Raw genomic sequence first — 19,620 nt, 5'->3', positions numbered from 1 at the left:
TCCATGAGGGTTCTTAGCTTTGGTGGTTTAATGCTCTATTTTTGTGCTGGTTGGCCTCCTACCAGGAGGTGGTGCTTTCCAGAGAGCTTCATCTGTGCTAGTATAGGGAGGGACCGATGGTGGGCAGGGCCCTAGAACTCCCAAGAGTATATGCCCTTTGTCTTTTGCTACCAGGATGGGTAGGGAAGGACCATCAGGTGGGGGTAGGGCTGGGCATATCTGAGCTCAGACCCTCCTTGGGCGGGTCTTGCTGTGGCTGCTGTGGGGGCTGGGAGTGAGATTCCTAGGTCACTGGAATTGTGTATGTAGGAGGATTACGGCTGCCTCTGCTGAGTCATGCAGGTTGTCAGGGAAGCCGGGGAAAGCCGGCAGTCACAGGCCTCACCCAGCTCCCACACAAACCGAAGGGCTGGTCTCACTCCCACCATGCCCCCCTCAACAACCCCCAGACCGTAAGCGATATGAGGCTGTCTGCCTCCCAGCTGCATAAGAAAAGGGCTTGGTTCTTCCCTAGCCTGTGGAGTCTGCACATCAGATTTGCACCCTCCCCCGAGTTCTGGCCAGGAGGCTTCTCACCCCGTTCAAACTGTTACAAAGTTCAGCTAGAGATTTCCTTCTCTCTGTGTAGTTTTATCCCCTGCTTCTCTCCCATTGGATCCCTGTGGTTCCAGGCAGGAACGGCCTGCCAGGGGAGCCCGCGAGCTCCCAGGGCCTTTCTGCTGCTTCCTCTACCCCAGTATTTCACTTGGCTCTCCAAATTGACTCAGCTCCAGGTAAAGTCAGAAACTTCTCCCACAAACAGACCTTCAGCTTCTCCAGTTGTGGGGGACGTGTTTGGGAGAGGAGGGTCTCCCTTTCCCACTTCCACTGTTGGGGCATTCACAGTTTTGTGGGGGGTCTCCTGGGTCCTTAAGAGGGTCTGTGGGTCCTCTTGGGATTGCTGATTTGTTCTTGCAATCAATCTGGAGCTAAAATTCACAATGTGAGCCCCCCCTCGCTGCTCTGTCCACAGCTGCATCTGTTCCTGCCTCCTGTCTGCCGTGATCTCACCATACGTCTCTTCTGGGAATTTTAAAAATAGTCTCCGCCTTTAATTGAGCTCGGTTAATTGGACCATTCATCCTTGTAAGCCAGAGGAACTTTAACAGAACACAATGAGAAGCTTGTCGGAGTTGCTTGGCTCTCTTTTCTTCTTTCATCGGGTGTTTGGAAATAGTCTCACTATCTCTATGGGTCCCAGGTGCTGAAGCAGCAAGTGTTCAGGACTACTGATGGGTCTCGGCCCCGGAATGCCCCATGGGGGCATAGCACTTATCTAGCACCTTCTACTTTGCTGGCTTTTACATGATCCATTCCACTGGGGGATTGCCTGTGGCTTTCTAGTACCAGCCTTGTTTCCTGGAGCTCAGGTCCTGCTTCCAGTCATATATCGTTGTCTATAGATGGTTTTTCTTGATTTCCTTTTCTTTTGTGTCTTCTGTGCTTGTTCCACATTACCATTGTGAGGTTCCTCCATGTTGTTGCATTCATTCTCATTGCTGAATTGATTTCCATCACATGGATATTCCATAATGTATGTATGCATTTTATTGTAGATGGATATGTGAGTTGTCTCCAGTTTGGCGCTATTAAGAAAAGTCCTGCTATGAACAATCTTCTAAATGTCTTTTGGTAAACACTTGTGTCCAATGCTGTTGGGTGGAATTGCTTAGGAGTGGAATTGCTAGTTCATGAAATATGCATTTATTTTGCTTTCATGAAACTGCCTACAGTTCTGCAAAGTGGTTTAATCAATTTATAGTAGGATTTCAAAGTTCTAATTGCTCATCCTCACTGACATTTGACATGATATTTTATTTTAGACTTTCTACTGGTAGTAATTTTTATCATTTTTATATTATACATGTCTAATCCTGTACTCATAACTGTTCTTTAAAAATGTCATGTTTATTTACAATTTGAAGCTATTACTCTTGGGTGGCCCTGCCTGGACTATCTCCCATCTCTCCACCTACTTAAATTCTGTGGAGATTCTAGGATGTCTTCCCTTCATCTTCCATTTCTCATTAATCTATCATTTCTTAGAACTCCATTGAAGTTTGATATTAATATTACACTGTTCTCAACTATGTAATGTGTGTGTGTTCTCACCAGCAATGCAGCGAAAATGCTGTTGTGGAAGGCAGAGGCTAGATCATACTACCCTTTAGCACCTAGGAAGGCGTACGGGATAATTATTCAATGTTTAATGAATTCAAGTGAAGTTTCCCTGTGTATTGAGGAGGGTAGTGCAGGAAGTAGCTTTCTTTGGATAGTTCTGGAGAAGGTTATGGGCAGGGGAAGAAGATGCTAAAGACAGTAATTACCAGGTAATGCCTGTGTAGGCCTGTCATGGCTGGGGCCCAGTGAGGTGGAGACCCTTTGAAACATCAATGGTAATTCAGGAGTTATGAGGATGAAAACAGGCAGCAGCCTGGGAGGGAGCAGGACAGATCACCAAAACCTAGTGGTGAAACGGGAGGAGTTCCCTTATCCCCCTGGCAGGGTGTGTGATGGGGGAGTGGCTCGATTCTTCGGTGCCCTGCTGCTCAAACCCTTAGCCGAAGCATGCAGACCAGCCGGTCATGGGGAGAGTCTTTGGCTCCAACCCCCTGGCAGCATCTAGGGTTGAGTGTTTACAGCTGCTGAAGCACCAGTGGGTGTGTGTTACCGTGTGCTCTTTCAGCTTTGCCGTCTGCAGGCGGCTTGTGTTAATCAGCTCAATTAGACCCTCAGCCTTATCACCAGGACAGAGGGCTTTCTGTATCCTGAGTTCTTGCCCTAGTGTACCAGAAAAATCAGATCACACGTGGGCTTGGAGGATGGGTGCAAGGTTTTATTGAGTGGTAGAAGTAGCTCTCAGTGAGTTGGATGGGGATCCAGAAGGGAGATGGAGTGGGAAGGTAGTCTTTCCCTAGAGTCCAGCCGATCACCCTCAGCTGAATTCCATGTCATTCAGCCATCAATGTCCTGCCAGTGTCTGCTGGGGTCTGTCGGCGTGCTCTTCAGCTCTTCTGCTCCTCTCGATGTCCAGCCACTTGTATCTGTGCCCGCTAGGGTCTCAGGGTTTTATGGGCACAAGATGGGGGTCATGGTGGGCCAGAGGGGTTTTGGAAAATGCAACATTTGGGCACGAAAACAGGAGTGCCTGTTCTCACTTAGGTCCGTGAGCCCAAGCCTGAGGGTAGAGCCCTAGCCAGGGACCCCGCCCTTCTCTACCCAGCACTTCCCTGCCCGCCTCCCATGTCAGCGGTATCAGTAGAGTCTGGGCCGGGTGGGGTGCTCCTCACCAGTGGCATATTGACAGGTGGCAAATGGCCTTCCTAAGAGGAGGTGAGTGTGTACAGTGGACCCAATGTCCTGTATTTATAAAATGATAAAAGATTTTGTAGGCAAAAGTAAAAGAAAGATCCTATGAGCAATAACTTTTTTATGTAAAGCAAGCAAGAACTATATATTTCTGCTTGCAGTACCTGATTTTTTCATATGTACCTATCATAGACATCTTTCTAGGGCAAAGAAATATGTTAGGCTCATGTCATTTCTTAGCCAGATAGGTTTTTGCTGAGGCAGAGAACAGAATTTATGTATATTCTTGCACTTAAAACACTTTGATTTTTTTCTCGATAAAAATGAAAATTTAGATGTGAAGAGCCACACAGTTTTGTTAGGTGCCATTTGATGAATGCCATTTTCCCCACAGCCTCAGCTCCAGCTTGCCTTTCCCTTTCATGTTTTTCGGCCATGAAACCTCTTTACTCTTTTCTGGCTTATCAATGAAAATGCATGACTAAATTGTTTAAGCTGAATTCCTGGCTTTCTGTGCCATATATTCCATTTTGTTGGCAAGATATTCTTGTGACTTTCCTTCTGTTCACAGAATTTGTGGTAGAAAATTGGTAAATAATTCATTTTGGTTTTGCACTTGCTTTAAAAAAGATAACACAGCGGGGCAGAGATATTTGACAGATTATTTTGCTTCTGAAATTATAGCAGAAATAAACAGGATGATTTGCTTCAATGTAATTCATAGTGAAAGAATTAAAAAGAAATACTGTAGCTGTTGGACAGCTAGCTGAACTATCCCCTCCACCCCCTATCTCCAGTGTAATTAGCTTTTGAAGTGATTCCAAATGGCTTCTTTGTTTTTGTTGTTACTGTTGTTCTTTTGTGTGTGTGTGTGTGTGTGTGTGTGTGTGTGTGTGTGTTTCTCATTTTGTTTCGTTTCATTTTGAAACAGGATCTTGCTCTATTGCTCTAGGCTGCAGTGCAGTGGCACAATCACTGCTCACTCCAGCCTTGACCTCCCTGGCTAAAGTGATCCATCCTCTCAACTCAGCCTCTGGACTAGCTGGGACTACAGGTGTGTGCCACCACACCCAGCTAAGTTTTTTTTTTTTTTTTAATTTTTTGTAGAGATGAGGTCTTGCTGTGTTGCCTAGGCTTATCTCAAACTCTGGGGCTCAAGCAGTCCTCTCAGCTAGGCCTCCCAAGGTGCTCAGATTACAGGCATGAGGTACCATGCCCAGCTTACTGCAACCTCCACCTCCCAGGTTCAAGAGATTCCCCTGCCTCAGCCTCCCAAATAGCTGGGAATACAGGCACGCACCACCACACCCGGCTAATTTTTGTATTTTTAGTAGAGACAGGGTTTCACCATGTTGGACAGGATGGTCTCGATCTCTTGACCTTGTGATCCGCCCGCCTCGGCCTCCCAAAGTGCTGGGATTACAGGCATGAGCCACCGTGAAAGCATTTTTCTTTTGGTAACATGTAAATAACTATGTTGAGATTGTAACTTTAAAAAATTTTTGTTATATTTGTTTTTTGTCAATACAGTATTGCACATCTAGAAGACATAAAGAACTGAGGTCAACTTGCAGAGCAAGGCCAAAACGTAAACTCAAAATTAAATAATACATTCTGCATAGCAGTTCCAGATGTTCCATAGTCAAGCCGTAGGTGGAAATAAGATAAGAAAGTGTTACTATTGCAATTCTATTGCCTTTTTTCCCTAGTTAAAAAGTAGAGAAAGTGGCATAAAGAACCCCACATGCATGCCATCTTCCAGTTTCAATAATAACTCCAGGCCATCTTGTTTCATCCATATCCCACCTACTTTCTTTCCCTTCCTCTTCGTCAATTATTTTAAAGCAAATCCCAGACATCATCTTATTTCATATGTGTGTATGTTAGTATGTATTTCTAAAAGACGAGCACTCTTAAAAAAATTACCACAATACTATTATCACACTTTAACAGTGATTGTCTCTAGCCAATTCTGCCTCTTTCCAATCAGTATTTCAGTTTATTCTGACGGTGTCCTAAGTGGTTATTTTTAATAGTGGTTTCTTTGAATTAGCATCCAAACAAAATCTGTGCTTTGCTTGATATGTCTCTGAAGTTTCTTTTAATTTGCAAATGCCCTCTCCCTCCTTCTCTTCCCATAATTACAACGTACTTGTTTAAGAATCTGGGCCCTTTGTTTCCCACAGTCTGGATTTTGCACACTGCATCCCTGTGGTGTGATGTGGCATGTTCTGTTGTTTCCTGTGTTTGCTATAAACTGATAATTAGATTTAGGACTTGATTAGTTCAGGTTTGATTTTGTTTTTTCTTTTGACCTCATAGGCATGGTGTTTATTTCCATCAGGAGGACATCAGACTGTTTATTTCCCTTTCAGTGATGTTAAAGTTGATTAGTCAGTTCTAGGCACCTGAATTAGCCTGACCTAACTATTATAAATAAAGGACCTCATCGGCTTTTCACCTGATAATTTAAGCAGTCATTGATGATCATGCCTAGATCCATTATTTCCTCAAAAAGGCAATAATAGTTTTAAAGTCATTTTTAAGAGCTGGGATGTGACTGAGAGACAGAGCTACCCAATTTTTTCTTCTAAGTTTGATGGTTCACCACTTACCTGAAAAGCTAAGTCATAGAGAACCTTTAGTGGGCTGAAAGGTAGATGGCATCAGCCTGAAAGGTCTGTGAAAAAAGGAGCCCAAAATGATCCAATCACTTTCCTGTGGAGATGGCATTCTCAGGTGACAATGTCGCAGGCCCAAGCCTGAAAGATAAACGGCATTTTTTTTTTTTTGGCATTTTTTGTTGTTGTTAAATAACAAAGCCTGGACTTTATCAAACTTTCAGTATATACTACTCTATTTGTATATTACCTTTTAGTTAAAAATTACAACAGAGGGGAAAGAGTTGAACATCATTTAAATAGCCATGCCTCTTTCAACCCATGTCTTTGTTGGGGTTTGAGAGTCTGAGCGGTAAATAATCTCCCTCCTGCCCTGCAGCCTGATGGCTGTGGATGATTTTCCTTTCTACCACTGACCTTCAAAGAGTAACAGAGGAGGGGAGGAGAGAACTGAGAAGGTGTTCTAAACCAGTAGCTATTTGTTGACAGGAATTCAGGGTGAACTGACGCTTCACACTGGAAAGTAACTTGGAAATTATCTCATCTAATGTCTTTGCCAATCCAAGATTCCCTCTAAAAGAACCTGACAAATGAGGGAGAAACTTTCTTCACAGTCTGTGCTCTTATGGTGTTCATCTGTTTCCTTCTGCCTTTTTAATTCAGTATGTCCTATTTTCACTATTGGATTATACATTCCTTGAGGACAATGAATTCATCTAATTCTTCTGTTTGATCCCAAATAAGTTGACAAACACAATCAGATATGAGCTGAAGCAGTGAACACCGATTTCACTCCATCACTACTGACAGTAGGGGAAGGAGCAGAGCTTCATTCTGATTTGTGCAGAGGTGACTGGGCCTTTCAAAGGGAGGGTGAGGGAGTGGGTGGAGTGGGGGTTTTCAGTAGTGTCAGAGAGGTGAAGACTTACAGAGCATTGGTCCCTGTAGATGCAATTAGGCCGACTGTGCCCACTGGCTGACAGTTCTCAAAGTTAAAGTTCTGTGCTTCCAGAGATTGGGAGGCAGAGGCTCTGTCCTTCCTGATGATTACATTCCATAGGAATGGCTCTCGGGTCCTTGAGGGAGATGCTTCTGTGTTGTAAGAATTAAGTATTCACAGTCATAAGCACATTTTTGTAAATGCTGTTTAAAAAAAAAGGAGGTTGGGGGCATGTTGTAACGTGTTGACTAGAGCAAATAATAAATTCTCCTGACAGCATTTCTCAGGTAAGCATTTTAATGAGGGGCTGGGGTCATCCCAGGGACACAGCCTTATGCTGAGGCTATGCTAGAGTTTGATTGTCTCCTAATGCAGAGATTTGGACAAAGTTGTTATGTGCAGTTCTCAAGGGTCTAGAACACTGCTTAATAAGTGTGTTGACTGAATGAATTTAAATAAATTCCATTTTCTCTACCCCCAAAGTGAGGGGAACAACTAGAATGCCTTCCACTTTACCTTAGTGCCTAGTGGCAGCCAGGAAACAGGCATAACACCTCCTCCATCCATTGTCCCTGTGTCTACCTGGCTGTCCTTGTCAGCAAGGACACCTGCAGTTTCCCTCCTACCACATATTATCTCCATACCACAAATATTTTGATTTTTTGAAATAACTCAATATAGATCAGTGTAATATAAAAATGATGAAATATTTTCAAATCTACTGCAGAATTCTGGGCACTGTTAAGAAGGGACAGTTCAAATGTCTCTTTTCCTTCCTAGCATTCATTTCCAGTTGTAATATGTTTATTTGTATGATAATTTTAAAATATATGTCATGGAAACTGTATCTGTATTTGTTCACCATTAAAAGGTCAGCACCTCAGAGTGGCTAGAACCTATTAGATATATCCCAAATCTATCAATTTAATGAATAAATGAGTGAATGGCTTTCCATCTTCCCTTGTCTTCTCCTCCAAGATAACATTGACTGGGTAGAAATGCTATTTAATAAAAATATGGTGACTGAACGCTTACAGAATGTCATGGTTCTTGAGCAGTGTTTCAGTGATTCTTCTTCTCTTTATAGATTCCTCACCTATTCCTACCTCTTGGCCTTCAATGTGTGGCTTCTGCTTGCACCCGTGACCCTGTGCTATGACTGGCAGGTCGGCAGTATTCCTCTGGTAGAGACCATATGGGACATGCGGAACTTAGCCACCATCTTTCTGGCGGTTGTGATGGCCTTATTGAGCCTGCACTGCTTAGCAGCCTTTAAGGTAATTTTCTCAAAAGTAGAATGAACTCTGCATTTGAAGACAGATATTCTATGCCTATAATGTTCTTTTTAGTGCGGATGGTCTGGGTGTAAATTGAATCTCCTCTCCTTGTCTATGTAAATTTTTTGTAGCGGGTAATAACATACCATGGCCACCTTATAGATTTTTTGACTGTTTCTACTAACCCTGTATTGAAACTGAAGCTTAATGTTTGTAAATGAGAGGTTACTACTGTGGTTGGCTGATTTTCAAAGTAATTTATTTGACTTAATATAATGATAAATGAAATTGTGGTAAATAACCTATTTATAAATGCTTAAAATATGGTTAAGACTCTACTTTCATGAGTGACTGCCAGGGGTAGTTGGATGATTTCTCCCACTACTTCCCCAAAAAGTATAAAACTGTACAAAATTACTAAAAACAGCTATTTCAAAAATGACCAAAGACCAAAGGCAAATGTACTAGTTCATTATCATACTGCTATAAGGACATACCTGAGACTGGATAATTTATAAATGAAAGAGGTTTAGTTAGCTCACAGGTATGCAGGGCTGGGGAGGCCTTAGGAAACTTACAATCAGGGCAGAAGGGGAAGCAAACATGTCCTTCTTCACAAGGTGGCAGGAAAGAGAATAATGAGTGCCCAGTGAAGGGGAAGGGGAAAGCCCCTTATAAAACCATTATATCTAGTGAGAACTAACTCGCTATCACAGGAGCAGAATGGGGGAAACTGCCCCCATGATTTAACTATCTCCACCTGATCCCCACAACACATGGGGATTATGGGAACTACCATTCAAGATGAGATTTGGGTAGTGACACAGACAAATCATTTCAGCAAAGAACTTGAAAATGTTTGCTTATGAAAAACTGCTACTGCATTGGATAAGATGCTTTTACCTGAAGGTCTTTCCATCCTGTCAGATCTAGCAGTAAAAATTAATAAGTTTACTGGTTGGAATTGGCTGGTAAACTTTGGAAAGTTTTACAATTTTGGAAAAATTTGGTTTGGGAAAGAAACAGAGCAGCAAAAATTTAAGGGGAAAGTTTTGGAAGCAAGAGAAATATGAAAGGGCAGAGGTAATATACTCTCCATGCATTCGTGGCTGTTAAATGACATATGCACAAGCAAAATTAAAAGCCCTGGGAGACTTACTTGCTGCAAGTTTGAATCCATTCTTCAATGCGTGCACGAGTTGAGCAGCAGAGATTGGAAAATTCACTGGCTTGAGTTATCCATGTATAACCTCTGCCCAAATCATTGGCTGATCACAAAGCCATGTTGGCACAAGAGAAATCCCCAGAAATCCAGGCAAAAGAAAAAAGAACTGAGTAATAATTTCAGCATTCTGCAGAGAAACAGATTTTCCAGTTTGAGTCTATGGAAACTCATCAAATGTATTCAAACAGGAAAATCAACAATTTCAGAAGAACAAAATAGAATCCAGGGTCCCTACAATGTGTGGCATGCAACACCCAGTTTAACCAACGATTACTAGATATACGAAGAAACAGGAGTGTGTGATCAAACTCAGTTTTTTAAAAAGTGTCAATAGGAAATGGAATAGAATTGAGAATTCAGGGCTAAATCCACACTAATGGGATCAACTGTTTTTTGACATAGTTGTCAAAGTAATTCAATGGAGAAAGGATGGTCTTTTAAAAATGTAACTGAATATCTGTAAGGAAAAAATATGAATCTTAACCCTTACCTTATACAGTATACAGAAATTAATTCCAAGTGGATCATAGTCCTAAAAATAAAAGCAAATTACACCAAAATTTCTAAAAGAAAAGGAGAAAATCTTTGTGAATTTGACTTAAGCAAATATTTCTTAGAACACAATGTGAAAACTGTAAAAGAAAAAGTTGATAAATTGGACATCATCAAAATTAAATATTTTTTTCATCAAAAGATAATGTGAATTAAATGAAGAGGCAAGCCACAAATTGGGAGAAAATATTTGTAAAACATAAATCTACAAAGGCCTTGTATCTGAATATTAAAAGTGCTCTTAAAACTCAAGATTAACAAGGCAAAAACTAAAATGGAGAAAAGATCCAAGTAGACCCTGCACAGAAGAAGATATGCAAAGTTTTTAATTAATAAATACATGAAAAGATGCTCAGCATCATTAGTCATTAGAGAACTTCAAATTAAATCCACAAAGAGATACCATTATACTCTCACTATAATGACTATCATTAAAAAGATTCCCAACACTGAGCGTTGGCCACTGTGGAGCAACTGGAATCCTTATACATTACTGATGGGAATAAAAAATGATTCAGACATTTTGGAAAAATTTGGAAGTTTCTTAAAAAGTTAAACATAAAATTAAACAGCTCTACCTATCTCCACCTACTGAAAAGAAATGAAAACTTGCCCATATGAATATCGTGTCTGTGAATATTCATACAGCTTTATTTATAATAGCAGACAAAGTGGGAAAAATCTAATGACCTAACATGCAAATGGACGAACTCAGTGTCATCAATTATTCAGAAATTTTAGGGAACAAACTACGAATACATAAAACAATGTGGACAGACATGGATGAACATGGTGCTAAGTGAAAGAAGCCAGACATGTAAGACTGTATGCTATATGACATGGTTTGGCTGTGTCCCCACCCAAATTGAATTGTAGTTCCCATAATCCCCACATGTCATAGGAGGGACCCCATGAGAGGTAATTGACTCATGGGGGCAGTTACCCACATGCTGTTCTTGTGATAGTGAGAGAGTTCTCACGAGATCTGATGGTTTTATTAGGGGTTTTTCTCCCTTTGCTCAGCACTCATTCTGTCTCCTGCTGCCCAAGGTCCCTGCTTCCTCTTTACCTTCCACTATGATTGTAAGTTTCCTGAAGCCTCCCCAGCCATGCAGAACTGTGAGTCAATTAAACCTGTTTTCTTTATAAATTACCTAGTCTTGGGTATTTCTTCATAGCAGCATAAAAACAAACTAAATACCCTATATGATTCCATTCATGTGAAACTCTAAAAAAGGCATAATTATAATGACAGAAAACATGTGGGGTTGGAGGTTGACTATAACTTGAAATAACATTTTATGCTTTTTAAAATATGATTGTGGTAGTGAAACTCACCAAAATATATAACTTAAAATGGGTGAATTTGTTGTATGGGAACTTTACCTCAATAAAGTATAAAAAACGATTAAATATTGCAAATAGGTAAAAGGCTGGAATGAATACAGAACTGAAATTTAAACACAAAACATAAGGCCAATCCTGAAAATTGAATGAAAAAAATTTGAATGATTAAAACATCTTTTTAAAATTGAGGTGAAAGTTATATAACATACAATTAACTATTTTAAAGAGTACAATTTAGTGGTACTTAGTGTATTTACAGTGTTATACAACTGCCAGCACTTTCTAGTTTCAAAGCTTTTTCATTACCCCATAAAATACCCCCATACTTATTAAGTAATCACTCTCAGCTTTCCCCTCCTCCATCCCCTGATAACCTTTAATGTGCTTTCTGTCTCTATGAATTTGCCTATTCTGGGTATAGAATATAAAAGGAGTGTGAGCCCAAAATGTCTGAGACTGGCCTCAGCCAATTTAGAAAGTTTATTTTGCCAAGGTGAAGGACACACCTGTGACACAGCCTCAGGAGGTCCTGACTACAAGTGCCCTCTGTGGTAGGGGTACAGCTTGCTTTTGTACATTTTAGGGAGACATGAGACATCAATCATACATGTAAAACATACATTGGCTCGATATGGGAGGGCAGAACAACTTGAAGGGTGGAGGCACTTCCAGGTCATAGGTAGCTTTTTTTTTTTCTTTTTTTGAGACGGAGTCTCTCTCTGTTGCCCAGGCTGGAGTGCATTGGCGCATCTCCACTAACTGCAAACTCCACCTCCCGGGTTCACGCCATTCTCTTGCCTCAGCCTCCCGTGTAGCAGGGACTACAGGCGCCCGCCACCACGCCCGGCTAATTTTTTGTATTTTTTTAGTAGAGACGGGGTTTCACTGTGTTAGCCAGGATGGTCTCAATCTCCTGACCTCGTGATCCACCTGCCTCGGCCTCCCACAGTGCTGGGATTACAGATGTGAGCCACCGTGCCCGGCCCATCATAGGTAGCTTTAAAAATTTTCTGATTGGCAATTTGTTGAAAGAGTTATTATCAATAGAAAGGAATGCCTGAGGCCGGGCGCAGTCTCTGATGCCTGTAACCCCAGCACTTTGGGAGGCCAAGGCAGGCAGATCACTTGAGGCCAGGAGTTCAAGACCAGCCTGGCCAACATGGTGAAACCCCATCTCTACTAAAAATACAAAAATTAGCTGGGCATAGTGGTGTGCGCCTGTACTTCTAGCTACTTGGCAGGCTGAGGTGGAAGAATCTCTTGAACCCAGGAGGTGGAGGTTGCAGTGAGCCGAGATCGCACCACTTACTCCAGCCTGGGTGACAGAGCGAAGTCTGTCTCAAAAAATAACAATAAAAAATAAAGGAATGCTTGGGTTACAATAAAGGGTTGTAGAGACCTTGGTTTTACCATGCAGATGAAGCCTCCAAGTAGCAGGCTTTAGAGAGAATAGACTGTAAATGTTTCTTATAAAGTCTGTGTTGACGTTAATGCTGGTGGGATATAATGAGGTATGTCCAACCTGCTCTTTCATCATGGCCTGAACTAGATTTTCAGGTAACTCTGGAAAGCTCTCGAGCAAGAGGAGGGGTCCATTCAGATGGCTGGAAGCCTTAGAGTTTTATTTTTTGTTTACAGGAGTAATAAAACATGTAATCTTGTATGTCTGGCTTCTTTCACTTAACACCATATTCTTGATGTTCACTGAAGTTGTACCACGTTGTTCCTTTTCATGGCTGAATAATATTTCATTGTATGTAATGTAGGGGCAGAAAAACTCCACCACCATCCACTTAGGGTCACGCTTCTGTTCACTAATTAAGTTGAGATAAGATAAGTAGGAGAAAACATGCACATTTATGTAATACAAGTTTTACATGTCACAGATGCCCTCATAAAGAATTAAAGAGTCAAAGAAGCAGTTGAAGTCCATTATTTATAAGCTGGATTGGACAAAGAATAGTAAATAGTGAAGGTACAACTAAATTATGTGGGGAAGCTTAGAAGATAAGAGTTACTTTAACAAGGTCTGCACATGATTCTCTCTGGTTATATTTCTCATCCTTGAGGATAAGGAAGCTGCGTCTTTTTGGTATGGGGAGGGCATCTTTCACATGGGAATTGCATTTTCTGTTTTAAGAAATAACAAGAAGGTCAAAGTGATCTTTTTGCACCTGCTGTTTTTCAAATGTTATGAACTTATATTCAAGTAATTTAAGTAAATATGCCAGAATATTTTAATACCTTTAGCATATACCACAGTTTGCTTATCCATTTATTCATTGATGGACATTCAATGTTTTCCTACTTTCGATGGTTTTTTTTTTTTTTTTTGGACTACTAAAAATAATGCTACTGTACATATTTGTGTACAAGTTTCTTTGTGGATATATGTTTTCATTTCTCTATAGCATATAACTAGGAGTGGATTGCTGAGTCATAAAGTAATTAAGTTTTCAACTTTTTGAAGCACTGACAAACTTCCGTAGTGGCTGTACCATGTTGCATTCCCTCCAGCAATGTACAAGAGCTCCTATTTCTCTACATCCCAACCAACACTTGTTATTTATCTTTTGTTATTTTAATTAAAGCTATCCTACTGAGTCTGAAGAGGTGACTTATTGTGGTTGTGATTTGCATTTCCTTAATGATCAATGAAGTTGAGCATCCTTTCATATGTTTATTGGCCATCCTTATATCTTCTCTGGAGAAATGTCTATTTAGGTCTTTGCCCATTTTTTAATTGGATTGTCTTTTTTGTTGTTGAGTTGTAAAGAATTATTTATATATTCAGGATATTAAACCCCTAAAAGATATTTGATTTGCAAATACTGTCTCTCATTCCGTAGGTTGGCCTTTTACATTCCTGATAATGTCCTTTGATGCACAAAAGTTTTTATTTTTTATTTTTTATTTTTTTTGAGATGGAGTTTCGCTCTTGTTACCTAGGCTGGAGTGCAATGGCGCAATCTCGGCTCACTGCAACTCCGCCTCCCGGGCTCAAGCAATTCTCCTGCCTCAGCCTCCCGAGTAGCTGAGATTACAGGCACCCACCACCACGCCCAGCTAATTTTTTGTATTTTTAGTAGAGATGTGGTTTCACTGTGTTGGCCAGGCTGGTCTCGAACTCCAGACCTCAAGTGATCCACCTGCCATGGCCTCCCAAAGTGCTGGGATTACAGGCATGAGCCACCATGCCTGACCAAAAGTTTTTAATTTTTGTGAAGTCCAATTTAGCTATGTTTTTCTTTTTCTATCATGCTCTTATTGTCAAATCTAAAAATACATGGCCAAATCCAAGGTCATGAAGATTTATGACTGTTTTCTTCTAAGAGTTTTGTGGTTTTAGCTCTTATATTTAGGTCATTGATTCATTTTTGAGTTAATCTTTGGGTGTGCAGTGAAGTAGGGATCCAACTTCATTCTTTTGCATGTGCTTATCCAGTTTTCTCTGCATCGTTTTTTGAAGAGGGTATTCTTTCTCCCTAAACACCTTATTTTAAAGTAACCATCTGATACATCTTTTTGTAAATGAATTTTATAAAGCAAGGATCATGTAAATAACCATCCTTAAGAAACTCTGGCATGCCAATTAGTTACATAAACTTGAGCTCAAATTTCACCTTGTTAGTAAGGTCTACTTTAACCATCCTATTTAAAATGTAGTCATATACTCTCTACTCCTTTCTTTATCTCCCTTTTACTTTTTAACTCCCTTCACTTAAACTTCAAGTTCTAAAATACTATATAGTTTGGTTATTTTACTTAATGCCTATTTCTGCCAACCAGAGCATGAGCCCCATGGGGACAAATATTTTTTGCTGTCTTGTTCACTGCCATACTTCTATCACTAAGAACTTGCCCCACTCAATATTTATTACCTAAATTTTATTTATTTATTATCTAAATTTGCCACTCAGTATCTATTATCTAAATGAATAAAACTGCAAAAAGTTAGCAATTCTGTTCAAATAGATTTTAGTCTAGAGAATCTTTTCTTGTAAGACATATATCTAAAGGCTTGAAAAGCACTGTGCTCAACAGCCGCATGAAATATTTAGGGGTGAATATGAGGTTTGTTTTATTATCTGACCTTAGCTCATGGATTGGTGTGCCTGCTCTATTGTAACTGATCTGCAGGAGCACATATAGTGGAGCCTGAATGGGTATGTCAGAAAGGGTTTTTCTTGACTTTCTCCCAGCTAATTAAGGGGACTGGTGATTCCCCACAGGCTGTCATCTCGGTCAAGTGTGTTAAACATAAGCTCTCATGATGGCAGTAGACCCTGCACACAGGCAAGTCTTGGCCCTCCCCAGAGTGTCTTTGATAACATGATGAATGAATGGAAACTTCCTCTGTGAAAGGCTGTTGATCCTTTTCTTTCAGGGAGTTTGTTTCAAAATCACTTTAATGCATCCTAAAAACTTAGCAGAACATTCCAGCTGTGGGGATAGTTAAGATTGAGCTCTTCTGTAGTGGCTTTCATCTTGAACATTCTTTGCAACCGTTTAACTAGAGCCTCTGGCAATTCTTGGCCACTTACACTCTCCAGGTTTTCTTCTTTCAGAGGTTGGAGACAGAGCTTTGCTCATGTTTTTGTGGCCTGGTTTCACTTTTCTTGATCTGCTTACACACCAGAAGGGAGATAGGAATCAGGCCTTACAGTCAGGTTCTCCTACTAGTTAGTAACCTCTCGAAGTGGGAATAATCCTGTTTTGTGTGTGTGTGATGATGAACTTCTAAGGACATGATGGTAAGGGCTTTGAATCTGAGGCAGTAAACAGGAGGATTAAACTTTTATGAACATAGAGGTCATGCTTTATGGACATTGTTCTGTGTTAAAAAGAAACAATAGATGAAATGTTTATAATAATGTCAGCAGAATAAGCACAGGTCGGTCCACCTGGAATATTTCCAAACGAGTTGTGTACTGAATCAGCAAGTATCGAGCTGAAATTATTTTATAATCCCTGATTATATCCATAAATTTTGAGATAGTGAAGCTATATATTACCAAGAAAAAAATACTGAATAAACAAGCGTATGCAGTGAGTCCAGAGATTCATGGAAAGATCTTTCATTTTCACCTTTGATTGATTCTCAATCATAGAAAACAACCTTGGCTTATATTGAAAGGAGAATATGTTCTTTGTAGCTTCACTACTTTTTCCTCTGTCCTTGTCTTAATATTGATTGAGTGCCTTTTGGTTGCTGTGATTAGCACAGTGAACAAAATGAAAGTCCCACCTGCATGGAGCTTACAGTTAAACACTTAAAATATGTCTTGATTTGTCAAATATTAGGTGATGCGAAGAGGTCAGGGCTGGCCTCACAGATAAGGTGACATTAGAGCAGAGACATGAAGGAAGTGCAAGGGTGAGCCATGTGGCTGTTTGGGGAAGAGCATTCCAAGAGCAGGGAAAGCCAGTGCCAAGTCCCTGAGGCAGGAAAGTACTAGACCCATCACAGACAGTAAGGAGGCTGAGATGGCTGGAGCCAAGTGGGCTGGGTACAGCCATATGAGTTGACATCAGTGTGATTAAGGAGCGAGTGTGTGCGATACTGTGTGTGATACCTTGAGCACACACAGTATCAAACCTCTATCTTTTTAAGCCTTCGCCTACTTTCCTTTCCCTTGCCATACTTCTTCCACCTGACCTCTGGCTCTGTTTTGTTTAGTTTTCTTCTTGGTGGGCCCAAGCCAGCGGAGGAAATAAGACTAGAGAAAGGAATTCAGGTCCTTGCTGGGCGCAGTGGCTCACGCCTGTAATCCCAGCACTTTGGGAGGCCAAGGAGGGTGGATCACTTGAGGTCAGGAGTTTGAAGCCAGCCTGGCCAATATGGTGAAACCCTGTCTTTACTAAAAATATAAAAAGTAGCTGGGCGTGATGGTGGGTGCATGTAATCCCAGATACTCAGGAGGCTGAGGCAGGAGAATCACTTGAACCTGGGAGGTAGAAGTTGCAGTGAGCCGAGATTGTGCCACTGTGCTCCAGCCAGGGCAACAGAGACTCCATCTCAAAAAACAAAAACAAAAACAAGACAGAGAATCCAGGTCTTTTAGCTGCTTCTGTGTGTGTCCATGGAGTGCAGGAGGTGGGGACTGAAGGAAAAGGACAGCTTTAGAGTCACTAGAGATTTGTAAGACATGCATATCTTGCTTTTAATTTAATTTAATTTAATTTAATTTAATTTATTTATTTATTTTTGAGCCGGAGTCTTGCTCTGTCGTCCAGGCTAGAGTGCAGTGGCACAATCTTGGCTCACTGCAACCTCCGTCTCCCGGGTTCAAGCGATTCTCCTGTCTCAGCCTCCTGAGTAGATGGAATTACAGGTGACCGCCATTGCGCCTGGCTAATTTTTGTATTTTCAGTAGAGACAGGGTTTCGCCAAGTTGGCCAGGCTTGTCTCAAACTCCTGACCTTGTGATCCACCCGCCTCGGCCTCCCAAAGTGTTGGGATTACAGGCATGAGCCACAGCTCCTGGCCTCTTTTACTAATATTAACCAGTTTTGTTGCATCATTTTGGGCAAGATATATGCTTATAATCTTTGTTTCTTCTCCAATTTACCAAAAACCTTCTTCTTGCTTCCTATTTCATCATCAACCAGGACACCAGATAGGTGGAGGTGGGAGCATACTCTTTCCTAATGCATTTGTATTTTACTTATTTGCATTTTATTAACATTTCAGTAATTAACTTTATAAAACTACAAATTAAGGCATGTAAGACAAATTAAGTCATGTAAAACAGTAGGTGTGTCATCTGTCAAAACCAATCCCCACAGCCTGCTCTTCATAGGCCTCTGTTGAATATCTGTTCCTCTACATTTTTATAACTATGCAAAACAAAAACAAATTCTTTCTTTTTTAGAAGTAAGTTAAGTTAGACACCATTACACATTGCAGACTATTCCAGGCCACTTCCATCTCTAGTTGAACTGTTTCTATGGGTAAGCAACTCAAAGAGTAGATGTTTTACTTTTGACAAGATCTTGTCCAGAATTGAGTGGGAGAGGCAGAATACAGAATCTAAATGCTCCTTTCTCTAGAAATAACCACACAATGAATTTAGAGATTGTTTCTAGTTTGTCTTATTTTCAGGGCATACGAAATTTAAGACCTCATGGAGTAGTTTATTATTTATCACGGAAGAGCTCAGTTGGCATCTTTGAGAATTTAAGAGTAGAATTTATCTCGTTCTGTGCCTCTCCTTCATCTCCTCCTTCTACTCACACACCATTCATTCTCTAGAAAGGCATTTGAATTTATATTACATAATGTAGAGAACAATCTAGAAATTTCTTATTGGATCGAATTGTTTTTAACAATGAATTTTAAAGTGAACTAATGTGCTCTGACCCTTTGTGATGAGGGTAATCACTCTGTGGGAATGCATGTACAGTTAAAGGATATTTAAGCCACAAAGGCTGAATATTCCATTCTTTTCTATGAATAGTGAGTGTGTATGCCCCAGGAGAACCACGGCTGAAAATGCACTTGAGTTTTTCTTTATGGCTCTTATAGACTTTATGTCAGACTGTTGACTTGCAATAAAAAGTGACATATATCAGGAAAGTAGCCAGTCTAATTTGGATTATTTAGAGCAGTTAATACTATTAGTCAGTCCTATTCTTTATAGTTCCCAATTTCCTGTGTTCTCTAATGTGGTTTCCCTGCATTACAGAGGAAACACCATTAAATTATATTTAAGAGTAATTTATTTGGTATTGGTTCTTTATTACATTCTCACAGAGTGTCTTGAGATTTTAAGGTATTTTTATACCTTTTATAATCTTGTAGCATACTTGTAAAAGAAAAACATGAGAGAAAAAGAGGTGGGCTACTGATACCTGACTTTCTTAATAATAGCCTCAGTCATGAGATGTCTTTTGAGAATGAACATTGGGCAGTGGAAGTCCTGTCTCTCCCCTCCCTTCACCTCATAGGTATGGGTTTGAGGGGTTTGGTTTTTATTTGTTTTTTAAATTTTTAGTAGGGTGATAGTTTAGCAACCAACACAAATCACAGGCTGTGGCACCGAGCCCCAGAAAACAAGCCAAATTTTCATGTCCATGTGGGGAAAAATCTGCAACCTGACTGGTAGAGGTGACGACCAGCAACAACTTGGTGGAAATGGAGGGTAGGGGTGGGGTAGGGCTAATGCAGCTCCTCACTCAGGGAGGGCCTTCTCATCTCAGGGATCTCCCTTCATGCCTGTTCTCATCCTCACTTTGGATTTACCTCCATGCTGGTCCATGTCACAGACCCCATCAACCTACTCACCACAACACCACACAGAGCTGATA

At 40.7% G+C, this 19,620-nt stretch overlaps 1 protein-coding gene across 10 annotated transcripts in view, besides 1 other annotated feature; it reads left to right on the top strand.

Annotated features, from left to right (window-relative positions):
* Nucleotides 1–19,620, top strand: part of TMTC1 (transmembrane O-mannosyltransferase targeting cadherins 1) — a 283,947-nt gene that overhangs the window by 143,427 nt on the left and 120,900 nt on the right. For all 10 annotated transcript variants that reach the window (NM_175861.3, XM_047429634.1, XM_017020005.2 and 7 more), the window contains one exon: nucleotides 7,997–8,186. In NM_175861.3, the coding sequence (NP_787057.2) occupies nucleotides 7,997–8,186 (190 nt within the window). The remainder of the gene's footprint in view (nucleotides 1–7,996; nucleotides 8,187–19,620) is intronic.
* Nucleotides 620–1,170: an enhancer, noted in NCBI's record as "H3K27ac-H3K4me1 hESC enhancer chr12:29793096-29793646 (GRCh37/hg19 assembly coordinates)". NCBI's record gives its function as "activates a minimal SCP1, AML or CMV promoter by ChIP-STARR-seq in primed H9 embryonic stem cells {active_cell/tissue: H9 hESC(primed)}" and the evidence as "EXISTENCE:reporter gene assay evidence [ECO:0000049][PMID:30033119]".

Source organism: Homo sapiens, chromosome 12, assembly GCF_000001405.40.
Source record: "Homo sapiens chromosome 12, GRCh38.p14 Primary Assembly".
Lineage (NCBI taxonomy): Eukaryota > Metazoa > Chordata > Mammalia > Primates > Hominidae > Homo > Homo sapiens.
The sequence above is the reverse complement of the archived record's forward strand: the minus strand, read 5'-3'. Positions and strand labels throughout refer to the sequence as shown.